The 25,636-nt window shown below is 51.3% G+C and overlaps 1 long non-coding RNA gene across 1 annotated transcript, besides 4 other annotated features; it reads left to right on the top strand.

Moving 5' to 3' along the window:
* Window positions 361-15,569, top strand: LOC107985590 (uncharacterized). Its single transcript, XR_007068163.1, has 5 exons — window positions 361-367; window positions 1,263-1,409; window positions 1,471-1,717; window positions 8,126-8,237; window positions 15,401-15,569. It is a non-coding gene; the product is annotated as an uncharacterized LOC107985590 (long non-coding RNA).
* Window positions 5,626-6,127: an enhancer, noted in NCBI's record as "H3K4me1 hESC enhancer chr22:35979057-35979558 (GRCh37/hg19 assembly coordinates)". NCBI's record gives its function as "activates a minimal SCP1, AML or CMV promoter by ChIP-STARR-seq in primed H9 embryonic stem cells {active_cell/tissue: H9 hESC(primed)}" and the evidence as "EXISTENCE:reporter gene assay evidence [ECO:0000049][PMID:30033119]".
* Window positions 5,807-5,886: a silencer, noted in NCBI's record as "silent region_13658". NCBI's record gives its function as "represses an Ori minimal core promoter by ATAC-STARR-seq in GM12878 lymphoblastoid cells {active_cell/tissue: GM12878}" and the evidence as "EXISTENCE:reporter gene assay evidence [ECO:0000049][PMID:35858748]".
* Window positions 8,102-8,601: an enhancer, noted in NCBI's record as "H3K4me1 hESC enhancer chr22:35976583-35977082 (GRCh37/hg19 assembly coordinates)". NCBI's record gives its function as "activates a minimal SCP1, AML or CMV promoter by ChIP-STARR-seq in naive H9 embryonic stem cells {active_cell/tissue: H9 hESC(naive)}" and the evidence as "EXISTENCE:reporter gene assay evidence [ECO:0000049][PMID:30033119]".
* Window positions 13,501-13,620: an enhancer, noted in NCBI's record as "active region_18910". NCBI's record gives its function as "activates an Ori minimal core promoter by ATAC-STARR-seq in GM12878 lymphoblastoid cells {active_cell/tissue: GM12878}" and the evidence as "EXISTENCE:reporter gene assay evidence [ECO:0000049][PMID:35858748]".
* Window positions 15,570-25,636: the final 10,067 nt, after the last annotated feature.

The raw sequence follows: 25,636 nt of genomic DNA, 5'->3' as shown, positions 1-25,636 counted from the left end.
GTGCCAGAGTGGCAGGCTTTGTGAAGTCCAGCCCACCTCCTTCACATCCTTTCCTCTTATTTCCGCAGCAGCCTGTGCCCTACATGGCATTACGGATCTGGGACAGGAGGATCGGCCCCCCATGGCCTTGATTTGTTCATCTGTCAAATGAGGGGACTGAACCAAAAGAAGTCCAAGGTGTCTGACACTCACCTTGTTTCTGACAACCTTCACCTGCTCCCTGGCTCTGAACACCCACCGAGTGGCCACCTTTGTCTTCAGGATTCACCCTCACCTTGCCCATGGTCCTGTGGCTTCTTTTTTTACCCCTATTCCTTCTCCTGGCCCTTGGAGGAAGGGGCCCGCCTTTCTCCTGGCGTGATGGAGGGTGGGTTCAACAGCGTCTTGATGAAGTAACCTTGGGCATATCCTGGCTCTGGGCTTCAGTTTCCCCTGCTAAGCCCTCTCTGTCTTTGGGGGAGGATAGTGAAGAACCCCAGAATCTAGGGGTAGCAGGGGCCTTAAATGGCACTGGATTCAACACCAGACCCAATGCTTAAGGCCTCCACCGCACCCAGGCTATGCTTGCATACCTCTGGAGGGATGGGGAGCTCCCTGCTTCCCCAAGCAACCCACTCTGTCTGTTTGCTAGACAGCAGTGATTGTGTCTAACAGGGATCACACATAGTGGCTGGCACTGAGGCTCAAAAATGAACAGGAGCAGGGTGGCACAGAGGTAAGGACCTCGTTTGGGTTTGAATCCTGACTGTCTTCACCTCAGACTGGCTGTGTGTGGCCCGTGAGAGTGACTTAACCTAACCAAACCTCGGTTTCTTCATGGGCAGATGGCAGTAATGGTACCTGCCTTGCAAGGTTGTTGGAAAGGTTAGTGCTATGAAAACCAAACATCCCGGCACACATGAGTGTTTGTCTCATACCAGGCTCATTCATTCTCAGGGAATAGGTGCTATTGCCACCTGCATGTGTTCAGATGAATTGTTTAGAGGCACAGAGAGGTTAAGGAACTTGCCTGAAGTCACACAGTGACTGTGACGGATAGAGACCAGACCTGGACCCAGGCATCCTGTGCCCAGGCCCCTTGTACCCTCTCAGAAGGCATCCAGCTCTGTGCCAGCCCAACTATCTTCTCACGATGGTGTGGGCCTGAGTGCTACATGCTCCCTGGGCCCCAACATCCTTTTAGCCTCCGTTGCTCAGAGGACAAGAAGGGCTCAGGGTTTTCCGTTGTTACTTCCAGCTCTGTCCCAACCATATCATTTCAGATCCAGAGGACGAAGGCTCTGAGTCCAGCCAGAACCCTGGGGTGTGTAACCTTAGGAGGTTTGCTAAGGAGACCAGCATGACGAGCCGGCTGGAATCTGAGCTCTCTGACCCCCACTCCTGCCCCTACAGCCACTTGGTCCCATGGGGTGTGGCTGGACAGAAGCCATCCTCTTCCTTCTGCTCTGTCCAACTGGCTTCTACCGGTAGGTGACAGGGCAGTGTTCCCAGCAGTGGGACAAGAGGCACTGGCACCAGGCCATGAGCCATGCATTCCTAGCTCTGCAGGGCATGCATGCCACGCGGACTGTGACAGTGAGCTCTTCCAGGCCCCCAGTGAGCCTGAGAGGGGGTCTGGGAAGAGTCAAGAGACACCCAGACAGTGCCATGTGGCAGTGAAGCCTCTGGTCCCAATCTGCCAGGGTGCAAAGCCCCAGGACTGCTGGTGGGATGTTGGGTGAGTAATTTAACCTCACTGTTCCTATTTCTCCATCTATAAAATGGGTAGAGGGTAGCAGCCTTCTCATAAGGCTGTGTGACGGTTTCACATGTAAAGTACTTAGCACTATGCCTAGCACACAGAGAGGGCTCAGGGAGTGAGAATCATTGTTATTCTCATTCAGCATCCATCTCTCCACCTCTTTATACAACAACTACTTAGAAAGTGTTGGATTCAATTTTGCTCCATAACAAGGTACTCCAAAACGTAGTGGCTTAAAACAATCAGCATTTCTTCTTGCACACAAGGTGTGAGGATCAGGAATTTGGGACTGGCTTGGCTGGGTGGTTCTGGCTCAGGATCCCTCATGAAGTTGTGGGCAGGATGTTGGTCAGGGCTGCAGTCATCTAAGGCTGGACAGGAGAGAGGATCCACTTCCAAGGTGGCTCCCTCACAAGGCTGGCCAGGTCATGCTGGCTGTGGGCCAGAGGCCTCAGTCCCTCACCATGTGGATCTCTCCACAATGCTGCTTGAGTGTCTTCCCAACATGGCAGCTGTATTCTCCCAGAGCAAGTGGTCCAAGAGAGCCAAGGAGGAAGTGCAATATCTTTCATGACCCAGCCTCAGAGGTCTCACTTTGGCATTTACACAGTGTCCTCTCAGTAGCACAGGTCCTCTGCTCAGCGTGGAAGCGGACTCCACAAAGGTGTGCATACCAAGAAGCCAGGATCTCTGGGGACCCTCTGGGAGGCTGGCTAAACTCTGTTTTGCTTTAGGGATGCAGCAGTAAGCGAAATCACGGTGATTGCTCTCACAGTCAAGTACGACTATGTGTGTTTGTGGCTGTGTGTGTGCGTGCACGTTGAGTACAAAAGAACAACAGACAGCAAACTCAAAGAAATACCTTGAGACATATTCTACAAAGCAAACAGACAGAGTGGCATGATGCTGTATAACAGGGTGTTATAGAAAAGGCTTCTCCAAGGAGGGGGCTTTGGGATTGAGGCCCGAGGGTGAAACGAGCCCACCAGGGGCCAGGCAGTGAAAGAGGGTGTTGCAGGCAGTGGAACAGCATAGGCACACTCAGAGAGGTGGCAATGTGGTGGCCCCTGGATCTGGCCTGCCTGGTTTTAATGCCTCTTGGCCACCCTCTTTGACCTCAGTTTCCTCATCTAAAAAAGGGGATAATAACAGGTCCTACCACCTATGGGGTTGGAGGGATTAAGGGAGATACTTTGAGTGAAGTCCATAGTGCAGTGCCTGGTGCACCAAGTGCTCAGAAATGTGAGTGTCATCATCACGATTCAACAGTGGCACGCAAAGATGACAAAGACCTGGCCCGAGTTATAACTGTGAGGCCTAACATGGAGGGAGGCACTATCTGAAGCATTTCCTAGCAGTGGTGTCACCTAATGGAAGGCAATGATCTAGTATGGGAGATGGGCACATAAGACAAGCATTGGAACACCCTGGACAGGGTCTGGGAACACAGCGGGGGGGAGAGAAAGGGGGAGGAGGGTGATCTTCCTGACCCCGCAGGGGAGGGGTGCCTGGGAAGGCTTCCCCGGGAGTGGCACAGCCATCTGGAGAGATGAGTGGGCAGAGAAACTTCTAGGCGGCCAATAGGGGCTGGAGGGAGCACAGGGTCTGCAGGGGACAGCAGGTAGCTCCATGTAGTTCCAGGTGGCTGGAACTCTGGTCTCTGTGGACGCAAGGAAGGAGATGGGGAAACAGACTCATGTAATGAATGGGGTGGGCCTTGCCCGTCACAGTTGAGTGGGCTTTCCTGTGGGGTGGGATCAATGAGCAGGAGGGCCGGAGGAGGCAGGGACGGACAGATTTGGTGGTAGGAGTTTCCTCTGGGTACAGGGAGGAAGGAGTGGAGGCAGGGAGGCCAGTGGAAACACAAGGCCAAGCAAGGGATGGTGAGGTCAGGCCCAGGGCAACAGGTATACGAATGGAGGGGATGAGGTGTGCCCCAGAGGGGAAGGGGGAGCTGAGCAGAAGGTGGGGAGGGGCAGAGGAGGGGAAGAGGGCGGTGGCTCCTGCCCTTTCCAGGTCCTGGCCAAGTCTCCACTCCTTTCCAGGGAGCTTTCCCCTTCCCTCCTCTCCCTGACCTCAGATGCAACTACCCCCATCCCTAAGATAACACCAAAAGGGCCGGGCGCAATGGCTTAGGCCTGTAATCCCAGCACTTTGGGAGGCTGAGGTGGGTGGATCACCTGAGGTCAAAAGTTCAAGACCAGCCTGGCCAAACATGGCGAAACCCCATCTCTACTAAAAAATATAAAAAATTAGCAGGGCGTGGTGGCAGATGCCTATAATCCCAGCTACTCAGGAGGTTGAGGCAGGAGAATCATTTGAACCTGGGAGGTGGAGGTTGTAGTGAGCCGAGATCACACCATTGCACTCTAGCCTGGTCAACAGAGCAAGACTCCGTCTCAAAAAAAAAAAAAAAGAAAAGAAAAAGAAAGGATAATTCCAGATAGGCATGAGATCGTGGGAACTCTTCGGCATTCCTGCATTACAGCACTTACTATTTCAATGGTGGCTACCATCTATAGAGCACTTACTATATTCCAGGTAACACACAAATACACACACACACCCACACACAAAACTTCGTTTTAACCTCACAATAGCCTAGCAAGGTAGGCACGTGGCTCCTGTTTTACAGACGAGAATCTGGAGGGTTGGAGAGGCTAAGTAATTTACCAAAAGTCACATGGCTAGTCAGAGAAAGTCTGGGTTTCACTAAATTAGCTAATCAAAAGTGCTTATACTAGTGCCTGGCATATAGTAGGCACTCAATAAATGTTAGCCACTCCACAATTTTTTTGCAGAGATAGGATTGGGCCGGGCACGGTGGCTCACGCCTGTAATCCCAGCACTTTGGGAGACTGAGGTGGGCGGATCACCTGAGGTCAGGAGTTCGAGACCAGCCTGGGCAACACGGTGAAACCCCGTCTCTACTAAAAATACAAAAAATTAGCCAGGCGTGGTGGCGGGTGCCTGTAGTCCCAGCTACTTGGGAGGCTGAGGCAGGAGAATGGCGTGAACCCGGGAGGCGGAGCTTGCAGTGAGCCAAGGTCACGCCACTGCACTCCAGCCTGGGCGACAGAGCAAGACTCCGTCTCAAAAACAAAACAAAACAAAAGAGAGATAGGATCTTGCTATGTTGCCCAGGCTGGAGTGCAGTGGCTATTCACCTGTGTGATCATGGCACACTACAGCCTCTGACTCTTGGGCTCAGGTAATCCTCCTGCGGAGTAGCTGGGACTACAGATGTGCACTACCACGCTCGGCCCTTCCGCTATTTTTGCTAACATCATCAGCTAGATCTGTCTGGCTGCAGAGCCTATGGCCCTCTGGGGGGCCACTTGAATTTATCTTGTCCGGTTCTGAGAGTCTGTCATCTGTTTATTTGCCCCACTGGGCTGTGGAATCCGGCAGAGCAGGGACCAGATCTGGTTGGTCTGTGGGTCTTGAGCGTCCCTTATGGGGAAGGCCCAGAGTGCATGGTCAGTGATGGTTTGTTGATGGAATGAACAATGTATCAAGTTCCTATGCCTCTTAGAATCTTGGGATTTCTCCAGCCATGTTTGTCCCTTAGAATGATGGAATTTCATTAGCCATGTTTGTTTCTAAGAATCCTGGGGTTTCTCCAGCCATGTTTGGCCTTAGATCATGGGATTTCTCTACGGAGGAGCCTTGGTGATCATCCAGGACACTCTGTCTCTTACCAGCCTTCTTCCTCCCTTCCTCAGGCACTGGCCCATAATCCAGCTCCTACTAGCCATACCCTCCTCCTTGTCCCAGGCCAGTGCCCCCTACCCATCCCCAGACCAAAACTGGAGTCTCCACGAAGAGCTCACTTGTCTTGTCCTGGCCTCCCAGTGGCTGGACAGACTCCCTGCTAAGGCTCAGGGCAAGCCCCACCTCCCTGCCAGTCCCTCCAGCCACCTGCGTCTGCCCCTGACTGGGCTGGGGTGTGTCGGTCTCCTCTCTGAACCTCTGTTTCCTCAGCTGCAAAATGAGGAGGATCATTTCGAACACTTTTAGCTCAGCTTTGTCAGTTTGCTACCGGGGTCCAGCTGGGTGGAGGATGAGGACCTTATGTATTACTATCTCCCTGCATCTCTGTGGGGTACCTTGCGGCTCCCGGGGGAAGCAGCATGTCTCTTTAAGGCCACTAGATGGCACCAGCGTGTCACCCGTCTCCCTGCAGGCTGACCTCAGGAGGAATTCCACCTGTGGGATTACACCCTAAGGACCACAGCCACCTCCCTCCTCCCACTGGCAGGAGCCCCTGAAGATCTGCCAGTGGGCGCAGGCAGGATGTGCAGGAGTTAGGGACAGGGGTGGGGGTCAGACAAATTTGAACTGGGGAGTTCTGAGCCAGGCCCTGCTCTTAGAGAACATCCTGGCTCTCTGCTTAGCAGTTAGTTCGCTGGTGACCCTAGGCATTTCATAGCACCCCTTTGAGACTTCAGGTTCTTTCTCTGTGAAATAGGGTACCAAGTCTCTTCTCCTGTGCATCGTGGAAACTGAATGATACTGGGCACGTAAAATGTCCATTCTGCCTCCGGGCACAGAGCAAGCTTCCACAGCATTAGCTGCCACACTAGTTATTAGTGTTACTTTGTAATTTAGTATTACGTCTCAGAATCTCCTCTGGGAGGAGCCTTAGGCAGGATGCCCAGAGATCTGGGTCTGCAATGGACTGTTCTCTCACTGTGTGACCTTTGGCAAGTCATTTCCCATCTCTGGTCCTCGGCTTGGCCTCCACCAGCCTCAAGAGGCTGGGAGTATCATGGAAAAATAAGGGCTTGGGAATCAGACAGACTTGGGTGTGAATCCCACCCACTTCTCCTCTTCCCAGCTGTGTGGCTTTGGGCTGCTCTGATAATTCCCTAATGATTTGTGTGACTATTTATTCTAAGTCTGTCTTCCTGGTTCTCTAGTACGTTCCACGAGGGCCAGGCTCATGTCAACGTGGCTCACCTACATAAACTCAACACTCAGCTCAGTGTCTGGTACGAGTAGCTGCAATAAACAAGGGTGATTCATTATCAGCGTTACTATCACTGTATACATTCACTCAGCAGCAGCAGCAGACCCCGTGTTCAGAGAGTCCTCTGCACTCTTTTTTTTTTTGAGATGGAGTTTCGCTCTTGTTGCCCAGGCTGGAGTGCAATGGTACATCTCGGCTCACCACAACCTCCAACTCGCAGGTTCAAATGATTCTCCTGCCTCAGCCTCCCAAGTAGCTGGGATTACAGGCACCTGCCACCATACCTGGCTAATTTTTGTTTTTTTAGTAGAGACGGGGTTTCTCCATGTTGGTCAGGCTGGTCTCCAACTCCTGATCTTAGGTGATCCACCCGCCTCGGCCTCCCAAAGTTCTGGGATTACAGGTGTGAGCCACTGTGCTTGGCCCCTGCACTGTCTTAATAATCCTCATCATTACCTCTGTTTTATGGATGAGGAGACTGAGAGCCAAGGAAGTTAGGTCATTGCCCAAGGCCACACAGCTACAAAGTCACAGGCACTGGGGTTGGAAGCTGAGCTCCATGACAGCCTTGTGTGAACGGATGTGGCAAGCTGAGTGAGAGTCCTCCAAAGATACCCACGTCCTAATCCCCCAAATACCTGTGAATCGTACCTTATCCAGCAAAGGGAATTCTGCAGATGTAATTAAGTTAAGGATCTGGAGATAGGGACATTATCCTGGATTGGTCAGGTGAGCCTAATGTCCCCACAAGGATCCTTCTATGAGGGAGGCAGGCATGTGGCAGTAGGAAGAAAGAGATGAGATGACCAGGCATGGTGGCTCATGCCTATAATCCCAACAGTTTGGGAAGCCAAGGCAGAGAGATCACCTGAGGTCAGGAGTTCGAGACCAGCCTGACCAACATGGTGAAACTCTGTCTCTACTAAAAATACAAAAATTAGCTGGGTGTGGTGGCATGCACCTGTAATCCCAACTACTTGGGAGGCTTCAGCAGGAGAATCACTTGAACCCAGGAAGGGGAGGTTGCAGTGAGCCGAGATAGCACCACTGTACTCCAGCCTGGGCAACAAGAGCAAAACTCCATCTCAAAAAAAAAAAAAAAAAAAGAGAGAGAAAGAGATGAGACTGAGGAAACGGGAGAAAAGACCATGTGATGTGGGAATGAAGAGAGCATTGATTCTATCTTGAAAGACAAGGAAAACCAGCCCTGCTGACGCCTTTAACACAGTGACACTAGTTTTGGACTTCTGACCTCTAGAATTATAAGGTGATAAATGTGTGTTGTTTTAATTTACCAAGTTTATAGTAAGTTGTTACAGAAGCAATAGGAAAATAAGGCACAGAGAACTGAGATAACGTATAAAAACACCCGGTATACAGTTGCAGCTCACTAAATGTTCTTTCCTTCCCAGCACTACCCCGTTTTCCTTTTCCAGCTACAACAGAATGGCAGAGAGGAAAGGACCCTCCGGGATCTTCCAGTTCAGCCAGCCCATTTTACAGAGGTGGAGACTGAGGCCAGAGGTAGGGAATGGCCCCTATCTTGCAGAGGTGAAAGGGGTCCAGGGAGCGAACTTGGGGGAAGGTCCTGGGCTGCTCGGTCTGTTCTAGTGTCTAGCACTGGGCATCCTGGGTGAAGTCATCCAGTCCAAACCCATTTTCCAGGTGAGGAAACTGAGGCCTGGCATTGCCTGAGAGATCTGCAACCTGCACCCCAAGCTGACAGGGTGTGTGCAGGCCTGGAGCCCTCATGAGTCCTCCTATTCAAAGGCCCTTCCCTCCCCCTCTTGAGCGCTGTTCCTCTGTGTGTATCCGCTGCAGACAGGGGCCAGCAGGGTCTGGGAAAGCCACATCAGAAGCCTGCCCAGCTGGAGCGGAGGAATGGGAGAGTGGCTTCTTGGAGGTCTTCAGCCTGGGAAAAGTCCGAGGCCTTCCTGTCCCCGCTCACCCTGTTCCTCCCAGGCAGGTCTGGTCCAGACAGCTGTGAGAAGTCCCCTGGAGGCAGCGTCCCAGTGGAGCTGGGAGGAAAGAGGGGCCCAGAAAAAGGAATTTGACCTCTGATCTGCAGCCAGTTGGTAGCATTATTCTGGATTATCCTAAATTGAGCCTGGAACCCTGGGCTTGTGTGACAGACCAAGGGGCCCCACGGGCTCTCTCTGCTCAGGCAGCTGGAGACACAGGTAGCGCCGTAACACCCAGCGACACAGGCATGATTCTTTTCCATAAAACATTCACACCACTGCCAGCCTTGATTCTCAAAACAGCCCTGCCAAGGAGAGGCTGTTACTGTCCCATTTTACAGATGAAAACATCAAGGCTCAGGGCCGGGCACAGTGGCTCACGCCTGTAATCCCAGCACTTTGGGAGGCCGAGGTGAGCAGATCATGAGGTCGGGAATTTGAGACCAGCCTGGCCAACATGGTGAAACCCCATCTCTACTAAAAATACAAAAATTAGCTGGGTGTGGTGGCGGGCATCTGTAATCCCAGCTTCTCGGGAGGCTGAGGCAGGAGAATTGCTTGAACACGGGAGGCAGAGGTTGCAGTGAGCCGAGATCGCGCCACTGCACTCTGGCCTGGGCGACAGAGCAAGACTCCATCTCAGAAAAAAAAAAAAAAAAACAAGGCTCAGAGAAAAGAGGGGACTTGCCAAGGTCAACGTCCCATGGTGGCAATGCTAGAACTCCACTAGCTTCGGGACCTAAGCTCTTGTGGGATGACCCTCGACATGACTCTAGCATGTTCTAGCGGCAGCCTTGCTGTGGGACCTTGAGCAAACCCCTTCTCTGAGCCTCTGAGTTCCCATCTGCAGGGGAGCAGATAGCAACTGCATCTACTTCATGGTGGCACTGTGTGGATAAATGAGTGAGCACTGTGCCTGGCACATGGGCAACACCTCACTATTGCTCACCCTCACCATCCCTGCATGGGTTACTGGATTACAGCAAATGATACCTGAGTATGCACCGGGCATCAGGAACCCAACGGACAAAAGTCCTTGCACCATAAACAGGCAATGCAGGAAGTGAGGGTGTGGCCGCGTTGGTCCTCGGCGGAAAAGCCTACCAGGTAGGCGGAAGAGCAAGTGGGGTGGGGCTGCCTGGAGTGTTCAAGCCACACCAGAGAGGCCAAGTTGGGTGAGCAGTGGGACAAGGCCCAGGAGAAACCAAAGAGATGGTGGGGGTACAGCCAAGCCTGCAGACCATGGTATCCACTGGTGGACTTCAGCTTCCACTTTCGTGAAATGGGGCTATCGCAAGGTGGCCTCGTTGTCAACAAAACCCGCAAGGCCTGAAATAGGCCCTTGGACCCTGGGTCGCCATCTGAGAAGTGGAATGGTCACGAGGCAGCCACGGTCCCCCACTGGGGACATTTTGTTCTTCTGGCTGAGACCCAGGGAGTCCCCAGGGGCACACTGGGATTGCCCTGCTGAAGGCCTCTGCAGCTGAGGTCCTCCTCTGCTGTGGCTCTGACGCTTTCTGAAGAAGCTGTGCAGCCTGCTGCTCTGGTGTGGGTGCAGGGCCCCTCCCAGGCGACCTCCTGCTGCATGCCGTGTTGAGGGGAGTGTGCGTGTGAGTGTGGGCCCGGGTGTCTTCCTCCCACTCATCTCACTCCTAGGGCTTCCATTCCAACCTTGGATGTTGGGGTACAGTAAGCAACTGCTCACTGCCTCATTCCAGGGGTGCCCTGGGTGAACAATCATCTCCTACCTCTCTTCCTCACCCTCAGGATGCCCATGGTAAGGCTGTAGCTGCTGCCATCATCCCTCTGGCTTCAGTTCAAGGGGAAGGAATATCTGCCATCCATCCACATCCTGGTCTTCTGTCCTCCCACCTCTCTATCTGCCTGCTTATTGGTCCATGCATTTATCTCTCCACCCACCTACCCAATGATTCCACTCACATATCCATCCATCCATCCATCCATCCATTCATCTCTCCATCAATCCATCCACCCACCCATCCATCCACCATCCATCCATCCATCTATCCATCTATCCACCCATCCATCCACCATCCATCCATCCAGCCAGCCATCCATCCATCCACCCACCCATCCATCCATCCAGCATCCATCCATCCATCTATCTACCCACCCACCCATCCATCATCCATCCATCCATCTATCCACCCATCCATCCACCTTCCTTCCTTCCATCTGTTCACCATCCACCATCCATCCAGCCAGCCAGCCATCCATCCATCCACCCACACATCCACCTTCCTTCCTTCCCTCCCGCCTTCCTTCCTTCCTTCCATGCTCTGAAAAACCACCAGTCTTTCTGTCTGATTACTATTGGTCCATCCTCTCACTCATCCAGCCAGCCATTTGTCCATCTTACACTCTCTCTCATCTACCTATTGGTCTTCCCCAAAACAGACCTCTCTGCCTGTCAATTGGTCTATCTATCCATCCACCCACCTACCCTCTTGCCGACTTCCCACTCACCCATCCATCAATCCACCTTCCTCCCATTCATCCATCTCTCCACCCCACTTCCCACTGGTCTGCCAAACAACTTATTAGCCTGTCTGTTGGTTCATCCACCCATTCATGGGACATTTATAGAGGCCTATCCTGTATGCTCAACATTGTAATAATAGCTGCCAATAATAGTAAAAGCTACCAATTACAGAACATTTGTTTTACATCAGGGAATTTCCTACATTCTCACATTAACCTATCCTCATTTGACAAATGAGGAGAAAATGCTAAACAACTTTTATTTTTATTTATTATAATTTTTTGGAGATGGAGTCTCGCTCTGTCACACAGGCTGGAGTGCAGTGGTGCGATCTTGGCTCACTGCAACCTCTGCCTCCTGGATTCAAGTGATTCTTCTGCCTCAGCCTCCAGAGTAGCTAGGACTATAGGCGCATGCCACCACACCCGGCTGATTTTTTGTATTTTTAGTAGAGATGGGGTTTCACCATGTTAGCCAGGACAGTCTCCATCTCCTGGCCTCACGATCTGCCCACCTCGGCCTCCCAAAGTGCTGGGATTACAGGCGTGAACCACCGCGCCCGGCCACTAAACAATTTTCAATAGACAATTGTCAAACTGCTTGATTTAACAGTGACTATAAGGTAGATACAATCACCATTTTGCAAATAGAGACTTGGCCATGCAGTTTGCCTGAAGTCACAGCACTCATGAATGACAGGCAGAATGTGGCCCAAGTGTTCTGACTCGAGTTCAGCACCCCTTCCCTCCGACCACCACTGCCTGAGCTCTGGCATGGGTGCCAGTACACCTGATTTCCAGTCCTGGCTCCTGCCATCCCGGGGTGTGACTGAATACATCAAGTCAGGCTTGGGGCCCCCATTTTCTTGTCTGGGGGTTGGAGTAGTAGCTTTTAAAAAGCCAGGATTCCTACAGCTCTTCCTTTGCTTCTTCCTCTGCCTCCCCATGAAGAGCCATGAGCACCCCGGAGAGGAGCTGGGCTAGGGGAGCTCTGAGTCTCTGACCTTGGACATGGCCTGGCCCCATGTCGACCCAGTCTGACCCACTCACTCACTCTTACTCACTCACTCAACAAATCTTCACTGAGTGTGTACCACAGGCCCGAGCCCTGCGGGCGCCATTTCTTACCATGGCTTCTGGACTAAGTAACACCCAGCCAAGGAGAAGGCGGCAGGCCCCCTAGGACAGGAAAGTCTCGTCTGCCCACCAGCTTGCCTGGGACCTCACCGTTGCCCTTGGTTTTCTCATCTGTGCAATGGGCTAATAATGGCCACCTCAGAGGATCAAATGAAGGAAAGTACATGTGGACCTGAGGTGGATCGACCTCAGAGGATCAAATGAAGGAACGTACATGTGGACCCTCTCCTCTCCCTTCCTTAGGAAATAATGGGGCTGACTTGAGCAGAGTTTCCCCAGGGGGACTGATGGGTTGACTTCTGGAGCAGGGGCCCCATGAAATTGCAGGCAGTGTTTGGGGTGTGTGTGTGTGTGTGTGTGTGTGTGTGTGTGTGTGTGTGTGAAATCTTCCACCAGGAAGGTCCTTACCTTTCATCAGACCTTCTGGGGGTCCATGACCTTCTTCCTCATTATTATAAAAATGATTGTTTGAGTGCTGACTCAGTACAGTTCTAGGTTCTTAGTACTCCTTGCCTCATTTAATCCTCAGTAGACAGCAGATGAAATAGTGATGGAGCTCCAGGATCCCAAAGCCTCATTGTCTGGAATTAAATCCTGGCTCCATCACTTCCCAGCTGTGTGCCCTTGGGCAGGTTAGCTAACCACTCTGTGCGTCAGTTTCCTCAGAGCTAAAGAAGGATGACAATAGTATCTCCTTCCTAGGGTTGCTTGGAGGATGACACACAGGTGCAGAGCTCAGAGCCATGCCTGTCCCTGAGCAGCACTCCGTAACTAGGATCTGTTAAAGTAGATGAGGAAACGGAGGCTTGGAGAGGTGAAGGCATTTATCCAGGGTCAACCATTGAGGAGAGAGCCGGGACTCGGATGCAGGTGGTCTGACACTGGAGACCTTGCCTCAACCGACCTGCCCTATGTGTGTTCTCTAAAGGACCCTGACCTCATCCCATCCTTGCCCCACTTCTGGCATACAAAGCTCTAGATTTTATTCTTGTCTGAGCCAGGCAAAGTAGGGGGGCTGACCTGGATGGTCTCTGAGATTCCCTGCCATTTCTGGCATTGGAGGCTTCTCTGCAGGAGTCCCAGTCTGGGGACAGCGGACCCAGCAGGCTGACGTGCCTCCAGAGAAGCTGCAGAGAGTAGGAACACGTGACAGCCCTGAACGTGTGTGCAACCCCTGCCCCCCAAACCCCAGCCACCCACAAGGTGCAGCTCCCAAGTCTCCCTGCACAGCCTCCAGGGGGAGGCACCCCCGTGGGTGCTGCTCCCTCCCAATGCCATGTGACACCAGCGGGTGGTGTGGGAGGGAGGAGGAGATGGGCTCCCCCGCTGACTGACAGCTTTCTCTCTGGGGAAGGCAGGGAGCTCCTGAGGCTGCGGTCCTCGGCACCAGATGGCTTTTAACAGACTAGAACACAGAGACGTGATTTGCTGGGCCATTTCCTGGCTCTGTGTGCAAGCTGGGCCAGCGTCTTCATTCCCCAGGCCTCACTTTGCTCATCCACAAAATGGGGACAATGGCTCCTTCCGCGCGGGGCTGTGGTGAAGGTGACAAGTGGAAGAGGCTGTGTGTGGCAGCCCCAGCCCCTAGCAGGCTCTCAAAACTACCAATTCCTCCCCATCCCTGCTCCCCTCTGGAGGCTGAGAGGGACTCAGGCCTGAGACAGGAAGTGCCCTCCTTCGGCATCTTGTCAGAGGGACAGGAGTTTAGCTGTGACCATGGCTGGGGGCTTGGAGTGGACTGCGGTGGCCTGTGCGGGAGAAGAAATCTCAGTTTCTTGTCATCAGGACAGCTGCTCAGGGCCCCAGCTCTGCGCCTGCCTGAGCTCGATGAATGGACTCTAAACCCACTCCAGGCCTTGGTCTGCCCTTTCCTCAGCTGGATCTCTGAGACCTGCACCAGCTTTAACAACCTGTGAGCAGGGCGGGCATCGCAAAGCCTCCAGGGCTGGGGGTGTCTACTGGGCAAAACCAGGGGCCGGGGAGGGTGAAGTTTGGGGAATCTTCTCCACATTTGTTGGGGGAAGCAGACAAATAAGGGTCCATATTTGTTGAACTGCATATTTGCTTATTCAATCCTTCCTTCAAAAAATACCTCTGAGTACCTACTATGTGCCAGGTTCTAGGCGCTGGGGAAACAGCCATGAGCAAGACCACTGCTTTATTCTGGTGGGGGGCAGTCAGACGGCGGAGAGCAGATAATGATGAATACTATGAAGGAAAACCAAGCAGGGGAAGGAAATGGGGAATAACTGGGCTGCTCGTGAGGTGGGAGAATCAGAGAAGGCCTCTTCCAGGGGAGATATTTGAGCAGGACCCCGACGGAAGTCAGCGGGGAGCCACATGGACAATCAGGGCCAGCACATTCTGGGAGGAGGGCATGCTGCGTGCAAAGCCCGGGGCTGTACCCACTTGATGTGTTTGAGAACCAGCAAGAAGGCACTGGGGCTGGCAAGCAAGGAGCCAGGTGGGTTCAGAGAGGGAAAGCTGGGGGCAGGGGATGGTAGAGAACCTGGCTCAGAATCCTGGGCTTGAGGGGCTGGGAGGGGACCCTCAGGCCATCTTGATTTTGGAGCTGGGGAGAGGGGACATTCTTTGGGATCACTCCTCCGAGACCCCGGACCCCAAAGGCAGTAACAACTTGAACCTAGCAGATGGGCAGGAACACACTTTTGAAATTTTGCGTTCGGCCAGGTGCAGTGGCTCACGCCTGTAATCCCAACACTTTGGGAGGCCAAGGCAGGTAGATCACCTGAGGTCATGTCAGGAGTTCGAGATCTGCCTGGCCAACATGGCGAAATCCCACCTCTACTAAAAATACAAAAAATTAGCTGAGTGTGGTGGCATACACCTGTAATCCCAGCTACTTGGGAGGCTAAGGCAGGAGAATTGCTTGAACCGGAGAGGTGGAGGTTGTAGTGAGCCGAGATCACACCATTGCACTCCAGCCTGGGCAACAGAGCAAGACTCTGTCTCCAAAAAGAAAAGAAAACAAAAGAAAAAAGAAAGAAAGAAAAGAAATTCTGCATTCAGCCAAAGAGCCCTAAGATAATAAGAGGTCCTCTGACCCAGCCCCCTCTGTTCACACAGCCCACCTTGCAGATGAAGAAAGTGAGGCTCAGAGAACCAGTTTCCCGAGGACACCTGGCCCCACGGCGTGCCTGAATCCGGGGCACGCGCTTCCTGCTTTGGCACACTACGGCTCCTTTTCAAAACGATGTTTGTGAAAATTAGTCTCAGTAAAGACAGCTAAGAAGGATGGGTTGGGATGTTTTTAGCTGCCTGTAAGCCAGATAAAAGGTTCTGTTGTTGCAAAAATGCTTTTCTTGGGTATGCTATAAGCATCCGTTAATTTCAGAAATTATCCAGCCTCACTAAGTAGAAATGATGGGTGGCTTTTCGAATTCGAGATGAAGATGGGTTTTTTTTTAAATGTTGTTGATGGTGGTTTATTTATGACAGACTCTTTTCATACCCTGAGTGTAATAGCTTAAATTTCAACGAGTCAGGGACCACTTTTATTTTTTCATCTATGCAGCCCTGGCAGAGTAGGTACCTTATTAGCATTTACTGAAAAGGAGATTTTTCTGAATGGCCACTCAGAAAACTACAATTGTGCAATCATCTGTATTCACGTGTAAGTGGATAGGCAGATAGTAAGTTGAATTAATTAATTAATTAATTGGAGCCCAACAAGGCATGACTTCGAGTTACAAGTAGCCAGGAACCACCAGTTTGAGATCTCTGATTAAGGTAAGGTGGAGAAGTATTTTAAGGGGAAGATCACAAGCTAAGGAAACAGCTGAAAATTTGACAAAAGAAATTCCAAATTTGGGTTCCTATACTCTGTGAATAATGCCAACAGCCCCCTCCAGACTTAAGCTGCAGGCACAGCAAAGCTAGAGGGGCTCGTACTCGTTTTCACCAGGTTATGCTGCATAAGAAACAACCTCAATCTCAGTTTCTTGCAGCAATAAATCTTTATTTCTTCCTCAGGTTGTGTGCCAGTGGCAGGGGGAACTGCTGCCACAAGCTCTAGTGCGGGCTGTGGCCAGAGTCAGGCCTGGTCCACGTGTCTCTCATCCCAGGGCCCAGGGCAGGAGTGCAAGGTGGTAGGAGGAACTTGCAACGCCTCTTAAAGCCTCCACTGGAATCCATCACGTTGTCACACGGGCCCACATTTTGGGGGAAAATAAAGTCACGCAGTCAAGTCAACATCAACTGACAGAGCTGGTGATGAATAGTTGCTAAACAAAGATGCAATTTACTACCAGGATTTAGGGAACTGTGAGTCCAGGGGAGTTCAACCGTTCTCAGAAGGGGCCTTTCCAACCACCTTGGGGCACAGGGGAGGAGGGAAAGAAAGGAGTCCAAATGGACAGGGTTCTAAGATTCCTGCCTTCAACACCACCACCTCCGCTTTATCCATTGGGTTGCCATGTGTGTTTTCACCTCAAAGCTGCTTTAAAAAATGGAAAAAAAAATGACCTGATATTAACACAATTCTCTCATATTACACAGATGAAGATCAAGACCTCAAAAGGAGATAGGCATGAATAGGCCTATGACAGGCCTATCTCATCAGTGGCAGAGCTGGGACATGTACCCAGCAGGAGCACTCTTCCTATGGCACCCCCAGTCAATATATATTCATATAGTCATTCAACAAACATTTGCCACCCAACAACTCGGCACAATTTTGGCAATCATAGCATTCTCCCCCATCCATTCTGTATTTTGACAACCTAATTTGTGCTTGATTCATTTGTTCATTCAACAAATATTTTCTGAGGGCCTCCTATACGTCAGGCCATGCTATAGACACTGGGGTTATTTATTTATTTATTTATTTTTGAGACTGAGTCTCGCTCTGTTGCCCAGGCTGGAGTGCAGTGGCATGATCTCGGCTCACTGCAAACTCCACCTCCTGGGTTCAAGTGATTCTCCTGCCTCAGCCTCTCGGGTAGCTGGGATTACAGATGTGGACCACCATGCCTGGCTAATTTTTGTATTTTTAGTAGAGACAGGGTTTCACCATGTTCACCAAGCTGGTCTCGAACTCCTGACCTCAGATGATCTGCCCGCCTTGGTCTCCCAAAGTGCTGGGATTACAGGCGTGAGCCACCGCATCTGGCCGGCACTGGGCATATAGCAGTGAACAAAACCAGTGTTCTGAGCTTTGAGATTTACATTCTAGGGGAGACACAAATAATAAATAAAATTTTTATTTCATATATATATATAATGCAATAGATGCTATAAAGAAGAAAAGCAGAGAGGGGGAGTAAAGAGTGCCCGAGGGGTTATTTTGGATGGAGTAGCTAAGAAGCCCTCTTTGAATAGACGGGATTTAAGCAGAGATGTGGAGGAAGTGACAGATGAAGCCGCGTGTGTATTTGGAAGAAAAGTCATTGGGGAAAGCAGGTACCAAGGCCCTGTGGCTGCCTGTACCTGTGAGTTGGAGGCACAGCAAGGAGGTCTGGGTTGAGGAGTAGCAGATGAGGCCAGAGATGTGCCGGTGCCTCGGAGGCCTGGGGAAGGATCTTGGGTTTGTTTGGGTGAAGTGGGAAGCCTTTGGAAGGTCTGGCTCCGGGAGAGATATGACCTGCCTTGGGTGGGTGAAGCACCAAGAACAGGGAGACCCAAGAAGCAGGCTGCAACCACGTGCTGGTGGGTGGGTTGCTGGTAGGTCAGAGGGGTTGGGGGCTGCTTTCAGCATGCGGCCAAGACGGTCCTAGCCGGACTCCACTCCACAGAGGGCAGACTCTCGGAGGGGCCGAACACAGCCCTGGGGGTGCCGGCCTGTTGCTGTTCCACTTGCATCTGATGCAGCCAGGGAAGCAGCAGCAAGGCTGAGGCTCAGAGGGGCCGGCACCAGCCAGGAGGCAGGGTAATGCCACTTCCAGGAGCAATGGATAGCGGAACGGTGCAGTCCCTCCAAGGTGGTGCCAAGGCCCTGACAGGTCTCTTTGGCTAGAATCCTGACCCTGGCTGCTGGCTGGGATGCCAGTGCCTCCCAGTGCTGGCCTCCCAGGAACACTGGGATGACGGGCCGCTGACGCTCAGGACCCTGCTGCACGGCCACCAAATTCCTTCTTTCCATTAATCTCCCTGCCCCATTTCTCCCTTGCTAAGTTAAATGGGCCCTTGGAGGGTGGATATTCTTTTCCCTATTTTATTTTTGCCTGTGATGTAAGCTCAGCTGAACCATCCCTTCCCCAGGAGGCCTCGCCAGGGGCCCTCCACTAACAGCCAGCTCCACTGTGCTCCTCATAGCCCTTGCTAGACTTGTGATGGTCCCTTTACCTGCGTGGTTATTTGGCAACTATCCATCTGTCCTACTAAATGATAAGCTCCCCAGGAGCTGTCTTTCATTTTGGGGGTGAGCTGGAGGCTCCCCGTTGTCTTCCAGACTCCAGTTAATCCCAGATACACAGCAGGTCAGTGGATGTGAGTCCCTGCCTTGGGGTATTTCAGGTCCTGCCTCCGGGTTCAGGACCTGATGGGCAGAACAGAGCCAGCTGTCTTGAGATTGGGGGCTGCAGAGCTGAAGACCCCGTTCGTAAGCGTTCCAAGATGCCTAGCCCCTAGCCAGGAGGGATCGGAGTGCGGCAGGTGTGCCTGGCTGCTGTCACCCATCTGCCGCGTGCCTGCTCTCCCTTAGGTGCTCAGTGTTTCAGAGAACTCAGGGCAAAGACACTTCAGAGCAGTTAGTGGCCCCGCAGCGGACCACAAGGAAGTCTGCAACCCATTCTCAGTGCACCCCGCCACAGCTCAGGAGTCTTGGGGGATGACATTTTGGGTTTTTGCTCTGACCTCATCTCAGGTTCAGGGTTTCACCTCCGGCCCTTTGCAGCAGGTAGGTAGAAAGCGCCCAGCTATAGGCCGAAGCTCTTTGTGGAAGAAAAAAAAAGTTTGGCTAATGACCTGCAGTTCTCTGTGAGCCTGGGCCCACCGCCTAAGGAGGAAGAGGAATTGGCAAGAGTGGGAGAATCAAACCTTTTCTGGAAGCACCAAGGTTAAGAGGGATATTAGGGTCCGGTTCAAGCACCTTGGTTTATAATTGGGGAAACTGAGGCATTGGGAAAGAGGAGAGACCAGAACTAGACTATGCAGCTCAGCTGCTCCCAATTCCTGACACACAGAAATGTGTGAAAGAATTAAGGTTTATTGTTGTTTTAAGCCACTAAGTTTTGGGGCAATTTGTGACATAGCAATAGGTGACTAATATAATCACCTACCTTATCCTGCCAAGTTTGGCTTGGAAAGCCTTTGGCTGCTTCTCAAAATCAGAGTGATCCCTAAAGAATGAAGACTTGTGCTCACAGAGGCTTTGAGAAAGGCTGTCATCCAATGTGGATGATCGTATTGTCTCACAGGGAGTTTGGAGTCGATCCTGAGATAATGGGGACGAAACGGGGAGCAGAGAGAGAGATGGACACAGCCAGGGGAGGGGGTGCAAAGAACCCAGATCTGAGAGCAGGGGCCTGGGATGGGCCTGGCCTCTGTTGCTTGCTAGCCACACGTCTCTGATGAGTGACTCAGCTCCCTGGGCCCAGGTTCATCATTTGTCTAATACTCAGCTGACAGTGCTGTTGTGAGGTTGACAGTCTGTTCCCCCAACAGCAGTCAGAAGGATCTAGTTAAATTACAAATCCGATCATGTCATTCCGGTACTTAAAACCTGTTAGTGGCCGTCACAGTGCCCGGATAAGGCGCAAGGCCCCAGCTGGCCAGCACCACAGCTCAGCTGTGTCTCCCTCACCTTTCCTGCAACGCCTCCCACCTTCCCCGCATGCAGCTCTCTCCCACTTGCTAACTGCCCCGCAACCTCCAGATCTCACCTGGAATGGGAAGCCACCTGACCACTTCAGCTGCTCTGTGTGGTTCTTATCATTGCCAGCGTGTTTGTGTGATAAACCATAAATGTCTGCCTCCCCTACGGGTCAGTAAGTGCCATGGGGCGGGGCCCCTCTGTCTCATTCCTGGCTATCGGCACAGCATGGGCACATTGTAAGTGCATAAGTGCTTGTGTGGAATGAATGAATGAATGAGCACACAAAGGGTGCCTAGTACTGTGCAAATATTGTTTGTGTCCACTCCTCCCTCCCCTGATTCCACACAGGCTGCAGGAGCTCCATGGGGTCTCACGACTCAGGCCAAATAAACCTTACAGGCACAAAAGCTGACAGATTTCCATTGTTCTTAACTTTGGTTAAGCATTGAAACTACCTGCAAAGTTTTCCAAAAAGAGATGCCTGGGTCCCACCCTCAGAGATCCTGGTGCACAGATGGAGGGTGCACTGGACATTGGGGTGACTAAAAATCCTCCAGGTCAAGCCTCAGAAACACCGCCCTGGGCAGTGGAGAGACTGGGGGCCTGGCATAGCCCTTCTAGCCTGGGGACTGAGACCGTCTCATGATCTATGACTATTGGGCTGTAAAAAATGAGAGCAATGTGCCGGATTCTGTAGTAAGGACTTCCCTTAATGAACTCAGGTAATCCTCAAAAGAGTCCTATGAAGAGGATAGTATTATTATCCCTATTTCACAGTTGGGGAGACTGAGGCAGGCAGCTATCAAGTCACTTGCCCATAGTTACCCAGGTGGCAGAGCCGGGATTTGAATCCTGGGTGGTCTAACTTCAGGGTACAGCTGCTTATCCACCGCCCTAATTGGTGGAGAGGGACCACGGAGAGGTACCCGCTAACTGCTGTCATCCTAAAGATTGCTTTCCCATCCTCTGAGGGCTCAGTGGGGGCGGGGCTGCCGCCTGTTCAGTGTCCTTTCTGAAAGGACGTGCCTCGAGGGACCAGTGGAGCCAAGATTAGACAGGCTCAGCCCATCCATTTCGGGCTGGGATCCTCAGGACGTTGAAAGCCTTCCCCTGGTGCTGGAGCCCATTGTCAGCCTTAGGAAGAGACGGGTCGCTATGGAAACCTCTGGACTGTACAGACGTACAACCGGCTGGCTTCAAGAAAATCTTTTCATGGGTCTGTCTCTGCTGTGAGGCAGCCAAGGGTCCTCCTGCTAATCGGGCCCCCTGTTTGGACATGATGTCAGGTTAACTCCCAGCGCTCAGCGGCAGCCTGGGTGCACCCTCCCCTTGTCCCACCTGGCACACAGAGACAGCTTTTCCAGCCCTCCCGTGGGAGGGCACATTGGTGGGGGAGGTCTGCTGATGATTGATGTGTGGGGTTGAGTCTTTAATTAAAGTATTCATCATGTGTCAGTCAGCAGAAAAGAAAGTTCAGCTCTCTGCCAGGGTCTGTATCCTGATCATCAACTCAAGAGCCGTTTCCCATGAGGGGGCGCGTGACCTTGTCTAATAGCTGCACTGAGATCTTTTTGAGACTTTTCCAATCTGCTTCTGAGCGCTGCATAGGACAGCATGGTGTCAGTGTGCAGACCTGGCCATGGGACCACACACTCTGACAGTCGGCGCTGGGCTGACCTTTAGCGATCACCAGATCTGTGCTTCTCAACCCTGGCACCCCGTTGGCATCACCTGGGCAGCTTTTTAAAAATATCCACGTCTGGGCCTCACCCCCATCCAATGAAATAAAATCTGAGTGGCATCCTGGCCAGGGTACTTCGTAAAAACTCTGCCTGTGCTTCTGAGGTGCAGCCAGTTCTGAGGACAAATCTAACCCACTCTCTGTACAGATGGGGAAACTGAGGCTTCAGGAGGAGAAGGGATGTGTCCTAGGCATCCAGGTAGCAAGGCACTCGGAGCGTGCGGAATCAGATCTCCATCCCACTGAGCATCCTCAGCTCCAAAGGTGGGATAGGTGAGGAAATGGCTCAGGAAGGGGAGGTGGGTCGCACCAGGGGCCTAGAACCAAAGAGAAAGGGAGGACACAAGATGCTGTCATCACTGTCCCAGCCAGGGGAGTGGGGAGCTGTGCAGGAGAGTCAAACCTCAGCCCCATTACACCTTTTTAAAAACCATGGAAGAGTGATATAACTTTCTTTTTTTCTTTTTTTTTTTTTTTTTAGACGAGTCTTGCTCTGTCACCCAGGCTGGAGTGCAATGGCACAATCTTGGCTCACCGCAACCTCCGCCTCCTGGGTTCAAGCGATTCTCCTGCCTCAGCCTCCTGAGTAGCTGGAATTACAGGCATGCACCACCACACCTGGCTAATTTTTGTATTTTTAGTAGAGATGGGGTTTCACCAAGTTGGCCAGGCTGGTCTCAAACTCATGACCTCGTGATCCGCCCGCCTCAGCCTCTCAAAGTGCTGGGATTACAAGCGTGAGCCACGGTGCCTGGTCTGAGTGACATAATTTTCTAGTAAAAGTATACTCACAGACCAGCAGCATCAGCATCACCTTGGAGCTTGTCAGAAAGAATCTTTTTTTTTTTTTGAGACGGAGTTTTACTCTTGTTGCCCAAGCTGGAGTGCAATGGCACGATCTTGGCTCACTACAGCCTCTGCCTCCCAGGTTCAAGCGATTCTCGTGCCTCAGCCTCCTGAGTAGCTGGGACTACAGGTGCGCACCACCATGCCTGGCTAATATTTTGCATTTTTAGTTGAAACGGTGTTTCACCGTGTTGGCTAAGCTGGTCTCAAACTCCTGACCTCAGGTGATCCGCCCGCCTCCGCCTCCCAGAGTGCTGGGATTCCAGGCATGGGCCCACCGCACCCAGCCAGAAAGAATCTTAAAACTGAAGCTTGTTAGAAAGAAGCTTAAGTCCACCTCAGACCTATTGAATCAGAGTCTGCACTTTAACAAGACCCCAGGGAGATTCATATGCACATTCAAGCACGAGAAGCCCCGTAGCGATGGGCACTGGGAGGAAGCTGCAACATGTGGGTTCTGGTTGTATGACCTTCAGGAGGCCCTCTTCACCTATTGCAGCCACGATTTCTTCATCTGTGTATGGGGATAACTGAACCTCGGTCTATCCACTCCCCATCAAATCTGGAAGGACCAGAGATGGGGAGGGGATTGATTGAGTTCACACAGTGAAAAGATGGCAGAGCTGCAGTTAGCAGCAAGAGCAGGGCGTCCAGCCCTGCATTGCCTCCCTGTGGTGGGGTAGGCGGGTGAGAGGGGGAGGAGAAGTTGGAGGGGTGCTGCAGATATCACAAACACTCCAAGAGGCCTCCAGATTCTTTTGCTATTCCAGTTTGCCTAAGTAGATGCGTTGTTAGAAACCACATCTTCCATCTGGAAACCCCAGGGATTTGGTTTCCATCCCATGTCTTTGCGATCTAAAAAAATAACAAAAGATATCAAAACAAAAGTTTGTGCCAAGGAAGAGAAGTCATTTGAACTAGAGGGAGAAGAATGATGTGTCTACCTTCCTCCTCCTCCTGACTTGTTCTTGGCAGAGTGTGTGGGCAAGCCTGTGCCTGCTGTGCCTCTGTATGCATGCATGTTGTGTGTGCTTATACACATGTGTGTGCAAGCATTTGTATGTCCGTGTGTGTGCATGGCTGTAAATGCATGTGTACGTCTGTGTGTATGGTGTTGTGCATTTGTGTGTATGCATTATATGCGTGTAAGCATGTGTGATGACAGAGGGTAGATATGTGCGTGCATACTATGCATGAATGTGTTCATGCATTGAGCATGTATGGGGGTGCATATATGTACATGTGTACATGTGCATGGCACATGCCTGTGTGTTCATGTGCATTTTTATATACACATGTACCAATGCATGTGTCTGTGTGAGCATGCATGCACGTGGCTTTGTGCACATGATGTGTGCATGTGTGTTAAGTGGTAATGGGACATTAGGTGACTTAAAGCTTGAGTTCAGGAGTGGTAGAGACTGGAAAGCCCAGGAAATCCTTGACATTCAAGAATTTAACATGCAGTTTTGGGTCGTTTCAAATAATCCAAAGGTCCGTGGCTGGTACTAATTTGTAATTTTGCTGGGGCAAAAATGTCAGCGTGGAACTGAGCTAGTGAGTGAGGCCAGCTGATGACCTGGCAATAAACACAGCTTCTTTCTGGAAAATGACCTCAGAAGAACTCCAATTGCTAGTGCTAATAATGGAGAGAAAGATGAAGGTATCTGGGAATGTGTTGGCTTTTAGTCTGAAAAGTAGGAGCAAGGAGTGGATTAAAGAGTGGAGAGTTGAACTTGGCCCTGGCTTGAATCTTTGGTCCAAGTGAGCCCACCATATGCTGCTCTCAGTGGAAACCAGGAAAAGTGATTCCCCACGCAGCTCAAGAGCCTCTGGAGCCAGCAAAGAACAGCTCAAGTGAGATTGGAGGCTTCAGGCCTCCAATGTGTTAATAACTGTGGAAATGGCTTTGGTTCTGTTCTTATAGTCATTAAATGTCCAAGATAGTAGCTTAACATTTCAGTTGCGCTTTGCTCCTTTTAAAGAGGGATAGTTTATGCAGAAGACAGTATTTCCCAGCGTGAGATTCTTAGAGATCTTGTCTTATTTCATGTGAATGTCAAGGGCTCACAGTAATTGTAAGTATCAGAAAAAAATTGGGATACAGGTGCGGTGGCTCACGCCTGTAATCCCAACACTTTGGGAGGCTGAGGTGGGTGGATCACTTGCACCCAGAAGTTTGAGACCAGCCTGGGCTACACGGCAAAACTGCATCTCTACAAATAAAACAAAAATTAACCAGGCGTGGTAGCGCATGCCTATAATCCCAGCTACATGGGGGGCTGAGGCGGGGTGGGAGGGGATCATCTGGGCGCAGGAGGTCGAGACTGCAGTGAGCCATGATTGTGCCACTGCACTCCAGCCTGGGCGACAGAGCAAGACCCTGTCTTGAAAATAATAATAATAAATAATAATAATATTTTAATAGCTCAATGATATTGAAAGCTGATGGTATGTTGGTACCGAGCTAAGGGCTTTTATATTAAGTAAAATTACACTTATATTAAGTAGAATAATATGATTCTTCACTTCTAGGAGTGTTTCCTGGTAAAACTCTATAAATCCTTTAGAGGCAGCTAGAATTGTTACCTCCTCTGAGAAACTTTCCTATTCATGTTAGCAATTACATTCCTTAATTGCAATGTCTGTCTGTTTCCCTCCTGCCCCCCAGATTCCTTGAGAAATTTATTCATCTGCCTCCAGCACCCAGAGCCGCCAGGGCCCAGAGAGAGCTCTGTGTTTGTGGAGTGAATATTAAATGTCCTATGAATTCCACTCCCCGCCTTTCTGGACCAAAGCCTTTGTCTCTGTTCACTTCCTCTCATTTGAGATAAAATTGATTTGGGCTTTTCGAATTCAAGTTTAATTTCTCATAAAAACACTAGAGAGCTGAGAACGTCCTCTCTTGGGGCCCAAGCTCTGTCTCCAACAGGCAACACACCGGGAAGCCAAGAGCCTAGGA

Source organism: Homo sapiens, chromosome 22 (assembly GCF_000001405.40).
Source record: "Homo sapiens chromosome 22, GRCh38.p14 Primary Assembly".
Classification (NCBI taxonomy): domain Eukaryota; kingdom Metazoa; phylum Chordata; class Mammalia; order Primates; family Hominidae; genus Homo; species Homo sapiens.
This window is presented reverse-complemented; position numbering and strand designations above follow the sequence as displayed.